The 17,628-nt window shown below is 41.0% G+C and overlaps 1 protein-coding gene across 22 annotated transcripts in view, besides 2 other annotated features; it reads right to left on the bottom strand.

Annotated features, from left to right (window-relative positions):
- Positions 1-13,433, bottom strand: part of ZNF227 (zinc finger protein 227) — a 29,722-nt gene extending 16,289 nt beyond the window's left edge. For 4 of the 22 annotated variants that reach the window (NM_182490.3, XM_011527290.1, XM_006723371.1 and 1 more), the window contains exons 1-3: positions 8,395-8,448; positions 7,736-7,890; positions 3,128-3,189 (exon numbers count right to left, since the gene is read on the bottom strand). In NM_182490.3, the coding sequence (NP_872296.1) occupies positions 3,128-3,187 (60 nt within the window). In that variant the 5' untranslated portion in view covers positions 3,188-3,189; positions 7,736-7,890; positions 8,395-8,448. Of the gene's footprint in view, positions 1-3,127; positions 3,190-7,735; positions 7,912-8,216; positions 8,449-13,096 lie in introns of those variants that run through there. The other 18 variants (XM_005259232.4, XM_047439379.1, XM_017027267.2 and 15 more) reach the window with 8 other exon arrangements.
- Positions 13,152-13,201: an enhancer, noted in NCBI's record as "active region_14759". NCBI's record gives its function as "activates an Ori minimal core promoter by ATAC-STARR-seq in GM12878 lymphoblastoid cells {active_cell/tissue: GM12878}" and the evidence as "EXISTENCE:reporter gene assay evidence [ECO:0000049][PMID:35858748]".
- Positions 13,212-13,311: an enhancer, noted in NCBI's record as "active region_14758". NCBI's record gives its function as "activates an Ori minimal core promoter by ATAC-STARR-seq in GM12878 lymphoblastoid cells {active_cell/tissue: GM12878}" and the evidence as "EXISTENCE:reporter gene assay evidence [ECO:0000049][PMID:35858748]".
- Positions 13,434-17,628: the final 4,195 nt, after the last annotated feature.

Raw genomic sequence — 17,628 nt, 5'->3', positions numbered from 1 at the left:
GTCCTTTGTAGGGACATGGATGAAATTGGAAATCATCATTCTCAGTACTATCGCAAGGACGAAAAACCAAACACCACATGTTCTCACTCATAGGTGGGAACTGAACAATGAGAACACATGGACACAGGAAGGGGAACATCACACTCTGGGGACTGTTGTGGGGTTGGGGGAGGCGGGAGGGATAGCATTAGCAGATATACCTAATGCTAAATGACGAGTTAATGGGTGCAGCACACCAGCATGGCACATGTATACATATGTAACTAACCTGCACATTGTGCACATGTACCCTAAAACTTAGTTTAATAATAATAAAATTTTAAAAAAAAGAAATGCTGATATCCAGTGAGTAGGACTAGAATTCACCACTGTCATCTCCAGTCTGCAGTTTCAAAGGAAGCCACATGGGGCTGGGTGAGAGGGGAGGGCCACAGCTGGATCAATCATTGTATAGATGTGGATACTGTGATCGGTATCTTTATCTGGGCATTTTTTTTCTATTAACATTTTTTTAAAGTTAAAAAAAAAAAGGAAACAACAGGTGCTGGAGAGGATGTGGAGAAATAGCAACACTTTTACACTGTTGGTGGGACTGTAAACTAGTTCAACCATTGTGGAAGTCAGTGTGGCAATTCCTCAGGGATCTAGAACTAGAAATACCATTTGACCCAGCCATCCCATTACTGGGTATATACCCAAAGGATTATAAATCATGCTGCTATAAAGACACATGCACACATATGTTAATTCTGGCACTATTCACAATAGCAAAGACTTGGAACCAACCCAAATGTCCAACAACGATAGATGGATTAAGAAAATGTGGCACATATACACCATGGAATACTATGCAGCCATAAAAAAGGATGAGTTCATGTCCTTTGTAGGGACATGGATGAAACTGGAAACCATCATTCTCAGCAAACTATCGCAAGGACAAAAAACCAAACGCTGCATGTTCTCACTCATAGGTGGGAATTGAACAATGAGAACACATGGACACAGGAAGGGGAACATCACACTCCAGGGACTGTTGTGGGGTGGGGGGAGTGGGGAGGGATAGCATTAGGAGATATACCTAATGCTAAATGACGAGTTAATGGGTGCAGCACACCAACATGGCACATGTATACATATGTAACAAACCTGCACATTGTGCACATGTACCCTAAAACTTAAAGTATAATAATAATAAATAAATAAATAAATAAATAAATAAAAGAAAATCAACATCCAAAAAAAAAAGTTTTGAAAGCGTAATGGCAGATTTTCCTCTCCAAAGATTTTCCCAGTTCACTCTTCATGCAACAGTACAAGCATTCCTGAATCTCTAGACCCCGGCTAAATAGGACTCAGTTCCTTTTTCTAAAAAAGTCATTGACAATATAAGTAAAACCAATATATAAATAGAAAGCTATTTTATTAACATTTTCACACATTTAAATTATTAGTGAAGTTTTTTTCATAAATTTCTTTTCTTTATGACACTCCTATTCATTTCTTTTGCTCATATTCCAGTTGGAATTTTCTCTATATTACTAATCTTAACAGGAATTTAAGCTATTAGACCTTTACCTAATGTTTAAGTATATGCCACCGGTTTGCTGCTGTCTCTTACCATCATACCTGATAGCTTTTGCTGTAGGGAAATTTAAAACACTTACATAAAAACTGTGCTTGAGCATCTACGTTCATGGAATGACTAAGAGACAAAACTAGAGAAGAGACAGTAATTGAGATGGAAACTGGATGAGGGGCATTGTTGGGGTCTATCCTCCAAAAGGTAATATCAGGGCCAGGTGCACTGGTTCACGCCTATAATCCCAGCACTTTGGGAGGCCGAAGTGGGTGGATCATCTGAGGTCAGGAGTTGAAGACCAGCCTGGCCAACGTGGTGAAACCCCGTCTCTAATAAAAATACAAAATTAGCCAGGCGTGCTGGTACATGCCTGTAATCCCAGCTACTTGGGAGGCTGAGGCAGGAGAATCGCTTGAACCTGGGAGGCAGAGGTTGCAGTGAGCTAAGAACATGCCATTGCACTCCGGCCTGGGTGACAAGAATTAAACTCTGTCTCAAAAGAATAAAAAGGTAACATCAGGTACTTCTATCATATGTGCTCATCTCTGTGAATGGAAAACTCTTTTGTTCTGTCTGCCTTTACATGAAAATAGAATGCCAGATATTCCTAATAGTTGGAAGCTTCAGTGTCCAATGAGTCAGCTACCTGGGAAATTTGGGGCAGTTATAAAATGTTCCCATAACCTGTTTCTTCATATTTAAAATGCAAATAAATCATCTCCATCCTCACATCTGAAAAATGCAATGACAGATGGAAAGGGCTAGCAAGACATCTAAGTACTACTAGACCTTACGTACATGTAGTTACTTTGATGAAATAAATTCATACAAGAAATAAATGAGTGATAAAAACATAAACGGGAAAAATATATAGCTCTTCTTCTCTGAAAGCATCTAATAAAATTACACCATGTCATTCTTTAGATGTTCTGTTTACAAAACACCTGAGGGAACTGACATGAAACTGAGACATAAACCTCTTCAATGCAGAGTTCCTAAAACTTTAAGGACAAATAATATTGAATTCCACCAGAATTTCTTTTGAAGGAATTGTTTTTATATGTAGGGAAAAAAGTCACTGGATTTACTTTAAAGTAGTAAAATTCTTAAAATTTCTGAATTTCTGAAAGGCTAAATAAGAAATAGTTTTTGTTGTCTTTTAAGGGCACTGCAATTCAATGGCATATGATGTACTCACTTACAATGCAGGTGATGCAATTAAGTGGAGAATGCACAATTGAAAATTTCATCTACTCAAGTATTGCAAAATGTGTATGAAAAAGGAACATGGGAAAATGAAAAAAGCTAGTTCATAAGCAGGGTAGTAGCATAGATTATTTCTGATTAAAGCTTCTATTATTTTTTCAAACACTGTTTTGTAAAATAGTAAAGGTGATAAACTAAAACAAAAAAACACATACATGTCAGCATACCACATGTCCTGAATATCTGTTTCCCACTAACCTTTCCAAGAAAGAGAAAAAATAAATCTGTTATCTTTGAGAAATAAATCACATTTTAAAAGACAGCAAGGAATCCTTTACGTACCTGAAACTTGGTCATTTTCTCCTGCTTCTTCTGGGGAAGGTCATAGTTCTGAGATGGCATAACTGGGGGAGACCAAAGACGCCATGAGACACAAGCCTGCTGTTAGCCCATGTGTACATATGAGGAAATTAGAGAAATAGCCCTACATTCAGACAGGTATAGCCACATACAGCTTGGTAAGCAGAACATGGACTGTATTCCAGCTACTAAATGGCATGATAGTTCAGTGCCATTGGGCAGTGAACAGTCTGCACAAGTGCAGCATCCTTGCTACAAGGATTTCTGATGGCAGAGACAGCAGGAAACGAGAGGCAATGTAACAACATATGAGGGCTCTCAAGTCAAGTATCTGGGTTTAATTCCTAGAAATGATACTTACCAGCTGTGTAACCTTGGGGATATTAAAAACCCTCTCTGTGCCTCACTTCTGTTATGTGTACAATGAGGATATGGTAAGAATCATAAATCGTACCTCCCTCATAGGGTTTTTCCAAGGATTAAATAAGTAGATGGAGAGTTCTAAGAACCAGGAGTCCCTTTCTCTTATAGTTACAAAAAAGCTTCTTCATGGCTTCTTGCTGTTTAGCCAGGCCTGGCACAGTGGCTCATGCTTGTAATCCCAGCACTTTAGGAGGCCAAGGAGGGAGGATCACATAAGGTCAGAAGTTTGAGACCAGCCTGGCCAACACGGCAAAACCTCATCTCTACCAAAAATAAAAAAAATCAGCCAGGCGTGGTGGTGCGGGTCTGTAATCCCAGCTACTTGGGAGGCTGAGGCATGAGAATTGCTAGAACCTGGAAGGTGGAGGTTATAGTGAGCCAAGATCACGCCAATGAACTCCAACCTGGATGACACAGTGAGACTCTGTCTCAAAAAAAAAAAAAAAAAAAAAACAAGCAGATGATACTTTGCATCACACACTTGCCTTGCAAATATTGCTCTCCTATGAAAGTCACCTTTAATTTCTGAAAAGCCGAAATCTGACTTAAGGTTTCTTTTTAGTAATTTGTTGCCCAGCTAGTAATATTTTACTGACACTGTTATCAGTTTTCTAAAACGTATCATTCTGGGTCAATTTACTTCATGAAGCCTGGAAACGATCATTGGTACATCTCTTTTATTTTATGTGCACAGAGAAAAACACACAGCAAAGAGAAAGATAAAGCACAAACGAAAAATCAAGAAACATGAAAGATAAATTGAGAGGCTTCCGTATTTGTCTAACAGGAATGGGAGAAGAGAAGGCAGGATGGAGGGAATGACTGAGAGGTTTTAATTTCAAGATGCAATTGCTGAGAATTTCACACAATTGGTAAAAGATACAAGTTCGCATATAGAAATTCTAAACAGTATAAATAAAAATAAACATACCCTAAACAAATCACAATAAAACTCAGAAATGCAAAAGACTAAACGAACATAAAGAACTGGAAACAACAACCTTAAAGCTCCTAGAAAGAAAATATAGTTGACCTAAAAGAAATAACAATTAGATTGACAGAAATAGGGTAACAGAATGGAGATTTAAAACAAATGAATATTACCTCCAAAATAAAGAAACTGTCAACCTGAATTCTATGTTCAACTAGATGATTATTTACATGAGAAAGAAACAATATTTTAGCTGAAAAAAAAAATGAAGAGAATTTATAACCATGTGAACCCTAAAAGATGGACTGCAAAAAGCAATGGTAAGAAAACATTTGTGACTATATTGGTAATATAATAATCTTTGTTTAAAAAAAGCCAAAGAACTATAATGACAAATTTTGAGGGTGGTTATAATAAAAAGTAGACCTATAAAAACATAGCTTTTTTTTTTTTTTTTTTAAAGGTACATCTTTTTTTTTTTTTTTTTTTTTAGAGAGAGAGTTTCGCTCTTGTCACCCAGGCTGGAGTGCAATGGCACAATCTCAGCTCACTGCAACCTCTGCCTCCCAGGTTCAAGCGATTCTCCCACCTCAGCCTCCTGAGTAGCTGGGATTACAGGTACGCACCACCACGTCTGGCTAATTTTTGTGTTTTTAGTACAGACGGGGTTTCATCATGCTGGCCAGGCTGGTCTCAAACTCCTGACTTCAGGTGATCCACCCGCCTAGGCCTCCCCAAGTGCTGGGATTACAGGCATGAGCCACCGCACCTGGCCCCATCTTCTTTCAGATTTTTTTTAGTCTCAATATTCTTCAGAATAAGAACACATGCTGATTAAGTTTAGTATTTGCTAAGAAAGAGAATATTTTTAAAGTTAGAAGAATGACACAAAACCATATAAACTCCAGACCAGTTGAGCACAAATAAAAGGGAATAAACTGAACAAAAAAAGACAAGAAAGGAGAACAAAATATACACACAGATAGTAAAAGCAAATTATCCCAGACTGCACTAAAAAAAAAAAAATTATACATATATATTCTAAAAGACACTACGAAAACATAATGACAAAAAAGTTTGAAAGAAAAAGAACAAAAAAAAGATATACTGTACTGAGCAAATGGCAAATTACAGCTTCAGTTTCAGAGGTCATGGTAGAAAATAAAAAAAAAACTGACCTCAGCTACTCGGGAGGCTGAGGCAGGAGAATCGCTTGAACCCGGGAGGCAGAGGCTGCAGTGAACCGAGATGGCGCCACTGCACTCCGGTCTGGGCGACAGGCGAGACTCCGTTTCAAAAAAAAAAAAAAAACTGACCTGATGTCTGGCGTATGCTTTAAGACAACCATCTGCAGCCTTTTTGGCACCAGGGACCAGTTTCACGGAAGATAATTTTTCCACGGATGGGGGCGGGGGAGATGGTTTGGGGATGATAGGTTCCACCTCAAATCATGAGGCATTAGTTACATTCTCATAAGGAGCGCACAACCTAGATCCTTCACATGTGCAGTCCCTCCTATGAGAATCTAATGCCCCTGCTGATCTGGCAGGAGGCAGAGCTCAGGCGGTACCCCTCCAATCACCTCCTTCTGTGCTGTCAGGTTCCTAACAGGCCACAGACTAGTACCAGGTCCGCTGCCCAGAAGTTGGGACTCCTGCTTTAAGACACTCTAATTTAAAAAAAAAAAAAAAAGTGGGGTGGAAGGAGGAGGAGATGGTCTGCAGCAAATGTTGAACCTGAGTGTTGGTTACGTGGAATTCACTGCACCACTCTTTTGACAGTTGAATATGCTTGAAATTTTTCGGCTGGGCGCAGTGGCTCACGCCGGTAATCCCAGCACTTTGGGAGGCCGAGGTGGGCGGATTACCTGAGGTCAAGAGTTCAAGATTAGCCTGGGTAACACGGTGAAACCCCGTCTCTACTAAAAATACAAAAATTAGCTGGGAGTGATGGCGCACACCTGTAACCCAGTTACTCGGGAGCTTGATGCAGGAGAATCACTTGAACCTGGGAGGTGGAGGTTGCAGTGAGCTGAGATCACGCCACTGCACTCCAGCCTGGGCAACAAGAGTGAATCTCCATCTCACAAAAAAAAAGAAAAAAAAAGAAAAAAGAAAATTTTCATAATAAGAAAAAAACTACTACACAGAATACCAAACCTATTTTGAGAAACATCCATAGCATATACTAAAGGGAAACACATTAAAGTGTTAGCAGTTTTATTATAAGTAATTTAAGTTTTCTGAATATAACATCACTGTCCAATAGAAATATACTGAGACACATAAATAATTTTAAATTTTCTAGCAGTAACATATAAAAAAGGCAAAAAAACAAAAACAAAAATAGGTGAAGTTAATTTCAACAACATAATTTAAGCCAATGTATCCAAAATATTACCATTTTGACATATAATACAAAAAATTATCAATGAGCCATCTTACATTTTTTGTACAAAGTTTTTGAAATCCAGTGTGTATTTAACACTTACAGCACATCTCAATTTGGACTAGACACATTTCAAGTGCTCCTAGGGCACACATGGCTTATAGCTACTGGATTGGATAGTGCATCTCTATAATGAGCATTCATTACTTCTATAACTAGAATATGACATATTTTGACATGGAATGAAATTAAGTAAGTGAGATGTTGCAGGATTTTTCTAAAAAATTCAAAATTCATCAGTGCAGTTTTTGAGGTCTTCCACAGTAAAATCCATACCTACATTCCCAAGGCTGATTTCCAACGACTCACCGGTAGCCATATGGATTACTATTTAAGATAACTGAAGACGACTGTATCATTGAGATTAAGACCACAGACTCAGAAAAAGGAATAGAAAATAAACAACAACAAAAACCAAAGAAACAAAAACAAACAAAAAAGATCACACAGTCTGAAAAGGAATGCTTGGGTTCAATCCCAAATCCACCTCTTACTATCAGTTGAATAACTTCGGGAAAGTATTTAATAACATAAACTCTGCCTAATTTCCTCATAACAAAATAACAAGACCTACTTCATCAATAGCTATGGTCCACAGACGAATGCCTTAAAATCAAAGTGGTAAGATGTTATTGGTAATACTCATTTCCAAGTAGTTTTCCTACCCACTCTCACATTTATTCAACAAATATTTCATCATTTTTCAGTAGTAACTTACTGAGTGACGGAAACTTGATTAACTGAAAGGACAGAAAATGGAACAACAAAGTGCGTTCAAGAGCAGGTACCTGGGGCTATGCTGGGAGAAGCCAAGAAGTCCCTCCTTCCTCCTCTTTGCAAATTCGGAGGCGGTGAATAAAAGGATGCTGTCAGCACGATGGAGTCTCTATCCCGGATAAACGGCGGTAAACATCCCCACGCATTGGAGCCCGATGACTCAATCCTTCTTAAAAAAAAAAAAGATCTGTAAAAGTTCGGGAAGAGCTCGGTCTCCTGAAGGATACGACAGAAAGGCCATGGCATAAAGCCCTGACTTTTCTTCTCTCTTCACTGGAGCTTCCAGTAAAAAGGGCGCTTGTGAGGGAATCACTGTATCAATAGCAGGAGCCAACCCAGTATCAGGTGCCACCACTGTTCTAAGGTTTGACCCGTATTATCTTGTTTAATTCTAATTACAACCCTACACAGTAACGACTATCTTTATTGCTATTTTAAAGATGAGGAAACAGGAGCGCGGATCATAGGTAACTCGCTGTTTATTATACCCACAGAACTAGCGGCGCTGCTTGCCAAGTGCGGGAGGAGAGCAAACTTCCCGCCCTCGGCCTCTCGGCCTCCGCCGCGGCCGCGACCTCTCCATCCCAAGACTGATGGCTGGGGAGCGCCTATTCCCAAGCACAGGCTGAAAAGGTTCAAGAGGGGTCGTGGGGGTGCAGGGCTGACTCACCTCCCGGACCCAAAAGATGGTGGCGGCCTCGCTTTCCGGGGCGGAAGTGGCTCTGCCTGCCCAGAGCTCCTGAACTACCCTTCCCAGAAGGCCCGCGCTCCTGCGGCCCAATTGTTTCCGGACAGAGTTCTGGAATACGTTTCCCAGAACTTCCAGAAGGAAAAACCATCCAGGTGCCGCCCTCTTCGCGCTTGAAAAAAAAAAAAACAAAAAAAAAAACGGAGCGAGCGAGTGAGAGAGGGTTACGGAGAGTGTGACAAAATTCTCGGAGCTCCCGGACTACAACATCCAGAATCCTCTTCACGGCTTATTGCTGTTTAGCCAGGCTGAAGCAGTTCTCTGATGTCAGTGGAATTTAGGTTTTTCTTATTAACAAAAAGTAACAGCAAATATGTGAAGAATTGGAGCCCTAAAATAAAAAAAGACTCCCAGCACTTTGGGAGGCCGAGGCGGGCGGATCACGAGGTCAGGAGTTCCAGACCAGCTTGGCCAATATGATGAAGCCCCGTCTCTACTAAAAATATAAAAATTAGCCGGGCGTGGTGGCGCGCGCCTGTAGTCCCAGCTACTTGGGAGGCTGAGGCATAAGAATCGCTTGAACCCTGGAGGGTGCAGTGAGCCAAGATCGTGCCACTGCACTCCAGCCTGGGCGACAGAGTGAGACTCTGTCTCAAAAAAAAAAAAAAGAAAAAAAAAACTATTATAAGAAACAGATCACGTGATCCTGTACTAATAGAATTATACCCACCACTTCCAAAAAAAAAAAAAAAAAGGGCAGAGGAAACCCTTTAAGTTTTTACATTTAACAGGATCGACTAATAGAAAAACTACTCTTTAGATACTAAAAGAATGAAAGAGCAATCAAAAAATGCAACGAAGGCAGAATATATTATGGATTTCCACTTTTCTTAATAGCACAGTCATATAATTCAGAACAACTTGCTTACTGAGGATAGCTAGACATAGAAAACACAAGCTTTGGCATATGGTAGATCAACTCCACAAAGCAACTAGGGCCTCTGTAATCATTCCTCAAGGAGTTTCTGAATTTGAAAGATGAACAAATTTATTACTTCAGTGTTTAAACCTTGATCTTTATTTGCTTAAATGTATAATGGAATTGATGTTTCCAAGAATTGAGGGTTGAAAGAAGAGAGCAATACCTAAAAATATCCACATATCTACTACAGTACATGTTTGCAGTTCTCATTTACTAAATATATATTCTTTATTCTGTTATATACAACTATCTCTTATAAAGAACCAAGTATGTGCCAGGAACTAGTTCAAACTATTCAGACTATGGGACCCTCACTACATTTTCACAACTTTTTTCTTTTTTTTTTTGTTCTGTTTTGTTGTTGTTGTTGTTGTTGTTGTTGTTAGACAGAGTTTGGCTCTTTTGCCCAGGCTGGAGTGAAGTGGCATGACCTCGGCTCATTGCAACCTCCGCCCTCACACAAGGTTCAAGCAAGTCTCCTGCCTCAGCCTCCCAAGTCGCTGGGGTTATAGGCACCCCCCTCCCCACCACGCCCAGCTAATTTTTGTATTTTTAGTAGAGACGGGGTTTTGCCATCTTGGCCAGGCTAGTCTTGAATTCCTGACCTCAGGTGATCCACCCGCCCCGGCCTCCCAAAGTGCTAGGATTACAGGCATGAGCCACCACACTTAGCCCATTTTCACAACTTTTTTAAAACAAATAATGTCCTCTAGTTTACTCTTTGGGATCCAGAGGCAGAGAGAGGTTAAGTATATCTCCTAAGATGGAAATTTGATTATTTTCACCTGCATGTCTATCCAGTGCCCTTAAGAGAAGGTTCAAATGCTTTAACAAGTCGCACAAACAGGAATTTTCCAGATGCTGTTTCTCTCTTGGAATCCACTTTCCACTCTACATGTCCAGCCATAGTGGATTACTTGTACTCCTACAAAAAGCCTCTAATTCTTTGTATTTGGTGTTCCTTCTGTCATAACCTGCTACTCTTTTCCCTCCTGGGTGACGGTCTTCATCCATAGCTTAAATATTCCCTGCTCTAATAAGACTTACTGTGGGTTCTTGCCTTGTAGACTAATAAAAGTAGTGTGTAGTAGCTAATATTACAGCCTTAGTATAAAGCTATCTAGATTAAAATACTAGTGCTTCCATTTCTTCTGTCCCCTTTTTCTTCATTTGTAAAATGGAGACTATAATAGGGTTGATATCAAGTACAAATGAATAAATACATGTAAAACACTGGAAATTCTGCCTGATTCATGACTACCCTATAAAAAGTTAGCAAATGTTAACCTCAGGGGATAAACACAGGACACATAAATTATGGATGGAAGGTTTCTACAAAAATTTGCTTTGATCACTAAAATATTATCAATAACCATGCATCAACTTTTGATTACTGGGAAAAAAACTAGAAGACTATGCAAATGCATCCCACCAAAAGTGAGATAAAGAGTCACTAATATTGACATTATTTCCTTTTATTTTTTCCTAAATCCATTTTGGGAATTCTGAATACAATCTAAATGATCTGCAGGTTTCCATTTCAAGATACTGGGCAGCTCCACAAACCACAAACACTAAACCCCTCCTTACCAGTCTTGTGCTGGGTGCTAAGCACATGGTAAAGAATGGGACATAGTTCCTGCAACAAAGTAACATGCAGCCTAAGGGAGAAACAGATCAGATCTAAAAGACCCTGAGTAGGCCGGACTCTGTGGCTCACGCCTGTAATCCCAGCACTTTGGGAGGCCGAGGTGGGCAGATCACGAGGTCAGGAAATCGAAACCATCCTGGCTAACACGGTGAAACCCCGTCTCTACTAAAAATACAAAAAATTAGCCGGGTGTGGTGATGGGCGCCTGTAGTCCCAGCTACTCAGGAGGCTGAGGCAGGAGAATGGCGTGAACCCGGGAGGTGGAGCTTGCAGTGAGCCGAGATCGCGCCACTGCACTCCAGCCTGGGCGACAGAGCGAGACTCCGTCTCAAAAATAAATAAATAAAAATGAATAAATAAATAAATAAATAAAAGACCCTGAGTAAAACATTCCAAATAAAGAAGCCAAATTCATAACTATTCCTTTCCAAATCTCAATGATTCCCTCTCCTTTAGGTTTTTCACATAACTACCTTCCTCCTAGTTGCCAGGAAAGAAAACCCTGAAGTTATTTGCTTTCCTTTGCTCTTCATTCATAATTACTTTATGTTAATTACTTTTAATTTCTACCGACTGACTAGGATTTGGTTTTGATTTTAAATAGTCAAATTCCTCCTCTTCCCACCAAAAACATATGTGGGAGAAGAGTAATAGATGCAATAAGATAGACAAAATGTTTACAAGAGTTAAAGACAAATGATGGCGGGGTGGGGGTCATTAACACTATTTTCTGTATGTGCATGTTTGGGAATTTCTACAAGAAAAATTAGAGAAATACCATGTGGGTGGTATGGCACCAATGCATAAATGCATTTAAAATGTTAGCAGTGGTTATCTCTAAATCCTGAGATTATGGGTTAAAGGAACGGGGTCTCGCTGTCATCCAAGCTGGAGTGCAGTGCCGTGGTCATAGCTCACTGCAGCTTCAAACTCCTGAGCTCAAGCGATCCTCCCACCTCAGCCTCCCAAGTAGCTGGGACTATCGGTATGTGCCACCACACCCAGCTAATTGTTTAAATATACAGCAGTGAATATGGGTAACTTTCATTTCCTTTTATACATTTCTGTATTTTCTAATCTCTCTATAATGGTCATGCATTATTTCTATAAGGAGAATATAGACTCTAAAGCCCCAGATCACCTTCCAAACCTGATAGAAAAAGACTTCCACAAACCATATACACGATTATTTCATATGGTTCTAAGAAAAATGTACAGCGTGGAGAATATGAACACAGACTTGAGGCTCCAACTTCTTGGGTTCATATGGACGTTCTGCCTCTTACTAACTGTACGTTTTAGGGTTCGTCTTCCCTCTTCTTTTTCTTAGAGCATTTCCATAAGAAACCTAGTGCTTCTGAATCCTTTCTCTAACCTTTTGATACGCATGTAAATTTCATTAGCGGCTATGTAAGCCTCTAGCCAGGTTTACAACCTAGAAGTATTTGTGAAAGTTCTGAGATTTGTCCCTTTTGAATATAAACATCTGAGAAAATAACAACCCACTGTCCCTATCACTGCAAGAGTTTAACCAAGGTGCCTCTCTTTAAACTGTAAATCGGCTAGCAGATGAGGTAAGAGAAGTTTTATTACTTTCGATAAAGTTAGTTAACTAACACTGGATTCTCAAGTAAATTTAGAATAAATTTATAAAAGAATTTGCAGTAAATGATGAGACCAAGTCCTCTTATTGAAAAATCATTAATCTTGAGAACTGATGTACATAGTGGTCAAAAGTAGAATTGTATAAAAAGTTTAAAACTGCTTGACTGTACACATAGGGCGGAATTTTTTAATAATATTTTTCTTTAGATTGCCTACAATACTATACAGTGGTTGTCCTTATTCAGTAATAAGACAGCTTTCTTTTCTACATTGTGTGGAGAGGTCTATTATCTTCGTCTCTCTGTTAGAACATAAGTGGTACCTACCACATAACGGTATTTTGGACATTTAATGAATAATTCGTATAAAAGTACAAGGACCTCCTACTAATGACTCTACTTCAGGAATGAGGAGAATGGGATAGAGAAAGATTAAGATTAACTCACAAAACGTTATAACACTAGTAAGTGGCAGAGCTGGCAAGTAGGTGGGAGAGGCTGGCTGCGGAACGCCAGGAGACCCTCTAACCAAGCGACAACCGATCCAGGACGCTCCCAACCCGGGGACGCAAGAACTGCTCCAAACGTGAGGCTCAGCCGAGAGGAAAGAACACAAACTGCTCCCAACTCCAGCCTCCCAGCTGGCCACAGCTTCTCTAGCCTTCCTCCAGACGAGGGCCAGGGCCCCGCTTGCTCCCTGACGAGGCTGAGAAAACTTGGAGGGTCCCAGCGGATCCAAACACTTGTTTTCGCCCTCCTAGAGCGAAAAAACTTCCCAGCAACTAAAGAGAAACCCCGGATCACTTCCCACAATTCCCTAGCTCCGCCATCCAAAAGCGGAAGTGCCCCAGGCTACGCGGGCCCCTGACTACACTTCCCAGAATGCCCCAGGGGAAACCGGCCATAGTTCCGCTCCTTGGAGCGGAAATACTTCCGAGTAACCTGAGCTTCCGGGTATCCTAGAAAGCCAGAGCAAATCTTAGCCAAGATTTGCAATTTTAGAGTGGAAGTGTCTGTCTTGGTGGTACCTACCGATTCTGTTGTTCAAGGGCCTTGGGGAAGAAGTTGGGGATCGGGAGAAGGGTACCTAGTAAAACCCAAAGAGCTGCACTACAGGAGTAAAGATAAAGGGCAAATAGATCATCTTCACTAGGGGACTGAAGCAAAACTTGAAATCACATTCGTACCTGAAAATAGATTAAAGTAAACCTTTTCTGTTAGTGTTTGCAGGTACCTGACATAAACAAAAATATTCTAATGGAGAAAGAGACTATCGTCCTAGGCCTCATATTCTTTCTCTAATTTTAAAATATATTAATATTGGACAAAGTACAATAGTCCTTGAAGAAAAGAACATTTTAAGATATACAAAGAAACACTTCATAGTAATGAAAATTTTCTATCAACTATAACAGCCTTACATAATGTAAAGCAAACTTTATAAAGAAAAATTGATTGACAGACTCATAAGGAGAAAAACACTGATAAACAGGAGAGCTTTTAATACATGATTAGAAGGAAACATAGAAAGCCTTGAAATCATATACAGGTCCTGGAGTTAACAATGGTTCACTTAAGATTTTTCGACTTCATGATGGTGTGAAAGCAACACACATTCAGTACAGTACCTATACAACCCTTCTGTTTTTCCCTTTCAATACCTATTCAATAAATTATATGATATTCAACACTTTATTATGAAATAAGCTTCTTTTTGCTAGATAACGTTGCCCTTGGATCACCTGAGGTCAGGAGTTTGAGACCACCCTGGAGAATATGGCAAAACCCTGTCTCTACTAAAACTATGAAAATTAGTCGGGCGTGGTGGTGCGCACCTGTAGTCCCAGCTACTCTGGAGGCTGAGGCAAGAGAATCACCTGAACCTGCGAGGCGGCGGTTGCAGTGAGCCAAGATCGAGCCATTGCACTCCAGCCTGGGCGAGAGAGCGAGACTCCCTCTCAAAACAAAACAAAACAAAAAACCTTGCCCAACTGGGGGCTAATATAAACGTCATGAGCACCTTTAAGGCAGGCTAGCCTAAGCTATGATGTTTGGTAGATTGGGTGTATTAAATGCATTTTCGACTTAGGATACTTTCAACTTACGGTAGGTAAGTTCATCAGAATGTGAGCCCACTGTAAGTTGAGGAGCATCTGTCCTAAAACAGGAGAAAAGCTGAACAAAAAAATAAAAACATTTATCTCAGGAATTCAATAAACAAATACCAAAACCACAGTGGGTAGATGGAAAGAAATGATCAAGATAATAGGAAATACATGAAATAGAAAACGAAATGGAGTGGATCTTAAAAAGTAAAATGATCATTCTATAAATAGAACAATAAAACTGACAAAGTCCAGTGACAGTAAACAAAAAAGACAGAAATGACATATTACCAGTTTCAGAAGTAAAAGGGAACATCACTAAATATATTGAGAATATTATGAGGAACATTATGATGATACATTTAAGAAATATAAATTCCCACTTAAAACTAAAATGAACATACACAACAATTAACAAAATGTTGAAAATTTATCTCTGAGAATGAGAATGGGAAGAAAATGCTGAATATCACCACTTCTAATCAAATTGTACTGAAGCTTATATCTAGCAACTTGGTCAAAATAATTTTATTATTTATTTATTCCTTTCTTTTCCCTATGGAACACTTTCATTTCCTCCCCCAGCCCCATATTTTGTTTGTTGTGTTTCTCTTTGTGTGTGTTTTGTGCAAAGTGCATGTGATGTGGTTGTGTGTGCACACTTTTAGTTTATATAAGTGGTATTATGTCATAAAAATAAATGTTAAGACTTTCAAAACTCAGCAGTATGTTTTAAAGATTCATCCATGTTTCTAGCATACATTAACCTATTTTATAGAACTAATTGTTTACACCCAAAATATTTTACTATTCCATGACAGAAACCTGGATTGCCATTGGCAATAACAATGCTAGGAACATCACTATACATCTTCATAGAAATGTGTGACAATTTATTTAGGACACATATCCATAAGTGTAGTTGTTGGTTCATAGCAGAGTCATATACTTACACATTTACAAATAATATTAATAGCTATATTGCTCTCCTGAATGGTTAAACCATTCCACATTCTCATGAGCACTGAATACAGTTTGTTGTATAACCACCCATTTCCATACCATCATTTGCCATGAACCATCATCCTATGTCTTGCCACTCCATTAAACACATACTGGTATTTCACTGTTTTAATCAAATTTCTCTGATTTTTAATAAGTTTGAGCATTTCTTCAAAATACTTTACAGCCTATTCTGTAAACTGTATATTTATGCCCTTTTCTTCTGTTATGGGTGCTATATTTTCCTTGTTCACTTGGATTATATACCACGAATATTAATACCTTATGCATTTGAGACACAGCAATACCTACTATTTGGTATTTTTTGATATTTCTTTTTTTGATGTATTGATTGTTTTTTATTAAATTTTTTTAATTTATTTATTTTTATTTTTATTTTTTTTTAGTATTTATTGATCATTCTTGGGTGTTTCTCCGAGAGGGGGATTTGGCAGGGTCATAGGACAATAGTGGAGGGAAGGTCAGCAGATAAACATGTGAACAAAGGTCTCTGGTTTTCCTAGGCAGAGGGCCCTGCCGCCTTCCGCAGTGTTTGTGTCCCTGGGTACTTGAGATTAGGGAGTGGTGATGACTCTTAACGAGCATGCTGCCTTCAAGCATCTGTTTCACAAAGCACATCTTGCACTGCCCTTAATCCATTTAACCCTTAGTGGACACAGCACATGTTTCAGAGAGCAGGGGGTTGGGGGCAAGGTTATAGATTAACAGCATCCCAAGGCAGAAGAATTTTTCTTAGTACAGAACAAAATGGAGTCTCCTATGTCTACTTCTTTCCACACAGACACAGTAACAACCCGATCTCTCTTTCTTTTCCCCACACTTCCCCCCTTTCTATTCAACAAAACCGCCATCGTCATCATGGCCCGTTCTCAATGAGCTGTTGGGTACACCTCCCAGACGGGGTGGCGGCCGGGCAGAGGGGCTCCTCACTTCCCAGACGGGGCGGCGGGGCAGAGGCGCCCCCCCCACCTCCCGGACAGGGTGGCTGGCCGGGCGGGGGCTGCCCCCCACCTCCCGGACGGGGTGGCTGCCGGGCGGAGATGCTCCTCACTTCCCAGACAGGGCGGCTGCCGGGCGGAGAGGCTCCTCACTTCCCAGATGGGGCGGCTGCCGGGCGGAGGGGCTCCTCACTTCTCAGACGGGATGGCGGGTCAGAGACGCTCCTCACCTCCCAGACAGGGTGGCAGCGGGGCAGAGACACTCCTCAGTTCCCAGACGGGGTCGCAGCCGGGCAGAGGCGCTCCTCACATCCCAGACGGGGCGGCGGGGCAGAGGCGCTCCCCACACCCCAGATGATGGGCGGCCCGGCAGAGACACTCCTCACTTCCTAGACGGGATGACGGCAGGGAAGAGGCGCTCCTCACTTCCTAGACTGGGCAGCCGGGCAGAGAGGCTCCTCACATCCCAGACAATGGGCGGCCAGGCAGAGACGCTCCTCACTTCCTAGATGGGGTGGCGGCCAGGCAGAGGCTGCAATCTCGGCACTTTGGGAGGCCAAGGCAGGTGGCTGGGAGGTGGAGGTTGTAGCGAGCCAAGATCACGCCACTGCACTCCAGCCTGGGCAACATTGAGCACTGAGTGAGCGAGACTCCGTCTGCAATCCCAGCACCTCGGGAGGCCGAGGCTGGCAGATCACTCGTGGTCAGGAGCTGGAGACCAGGGGGGCCAACAGGGGGAAACCCCGTCTCCACCAAAAAATACAAAAACCAGTCAGGCGTGGCGGCGCACGCCTGCAATCCCAGGCACTCGGCAGGCTGAGGCAGGAGAATCAGGCAGGGAAGTTGCAGTGAGCAGAGATGGCGGCAGTACAGTCCAGCCTCGTATCAGCTCGGCATGGGAGGGAGACCGTGC

Source organism: Homo sapiens, chromosome 19, assembly GCF_000001405.40.
Source record: "Homo sapiens chromosome 19, GRCh38.p14 Primary Assembly".
NCBI lineage: Eukaryota > Metazoa > Chordata > Mammalia > Primates > Hominidae > Homo > Homo sapiens.
This window is presented reverse-complemented; position numbering and strand designations above follow the sequence as displayed.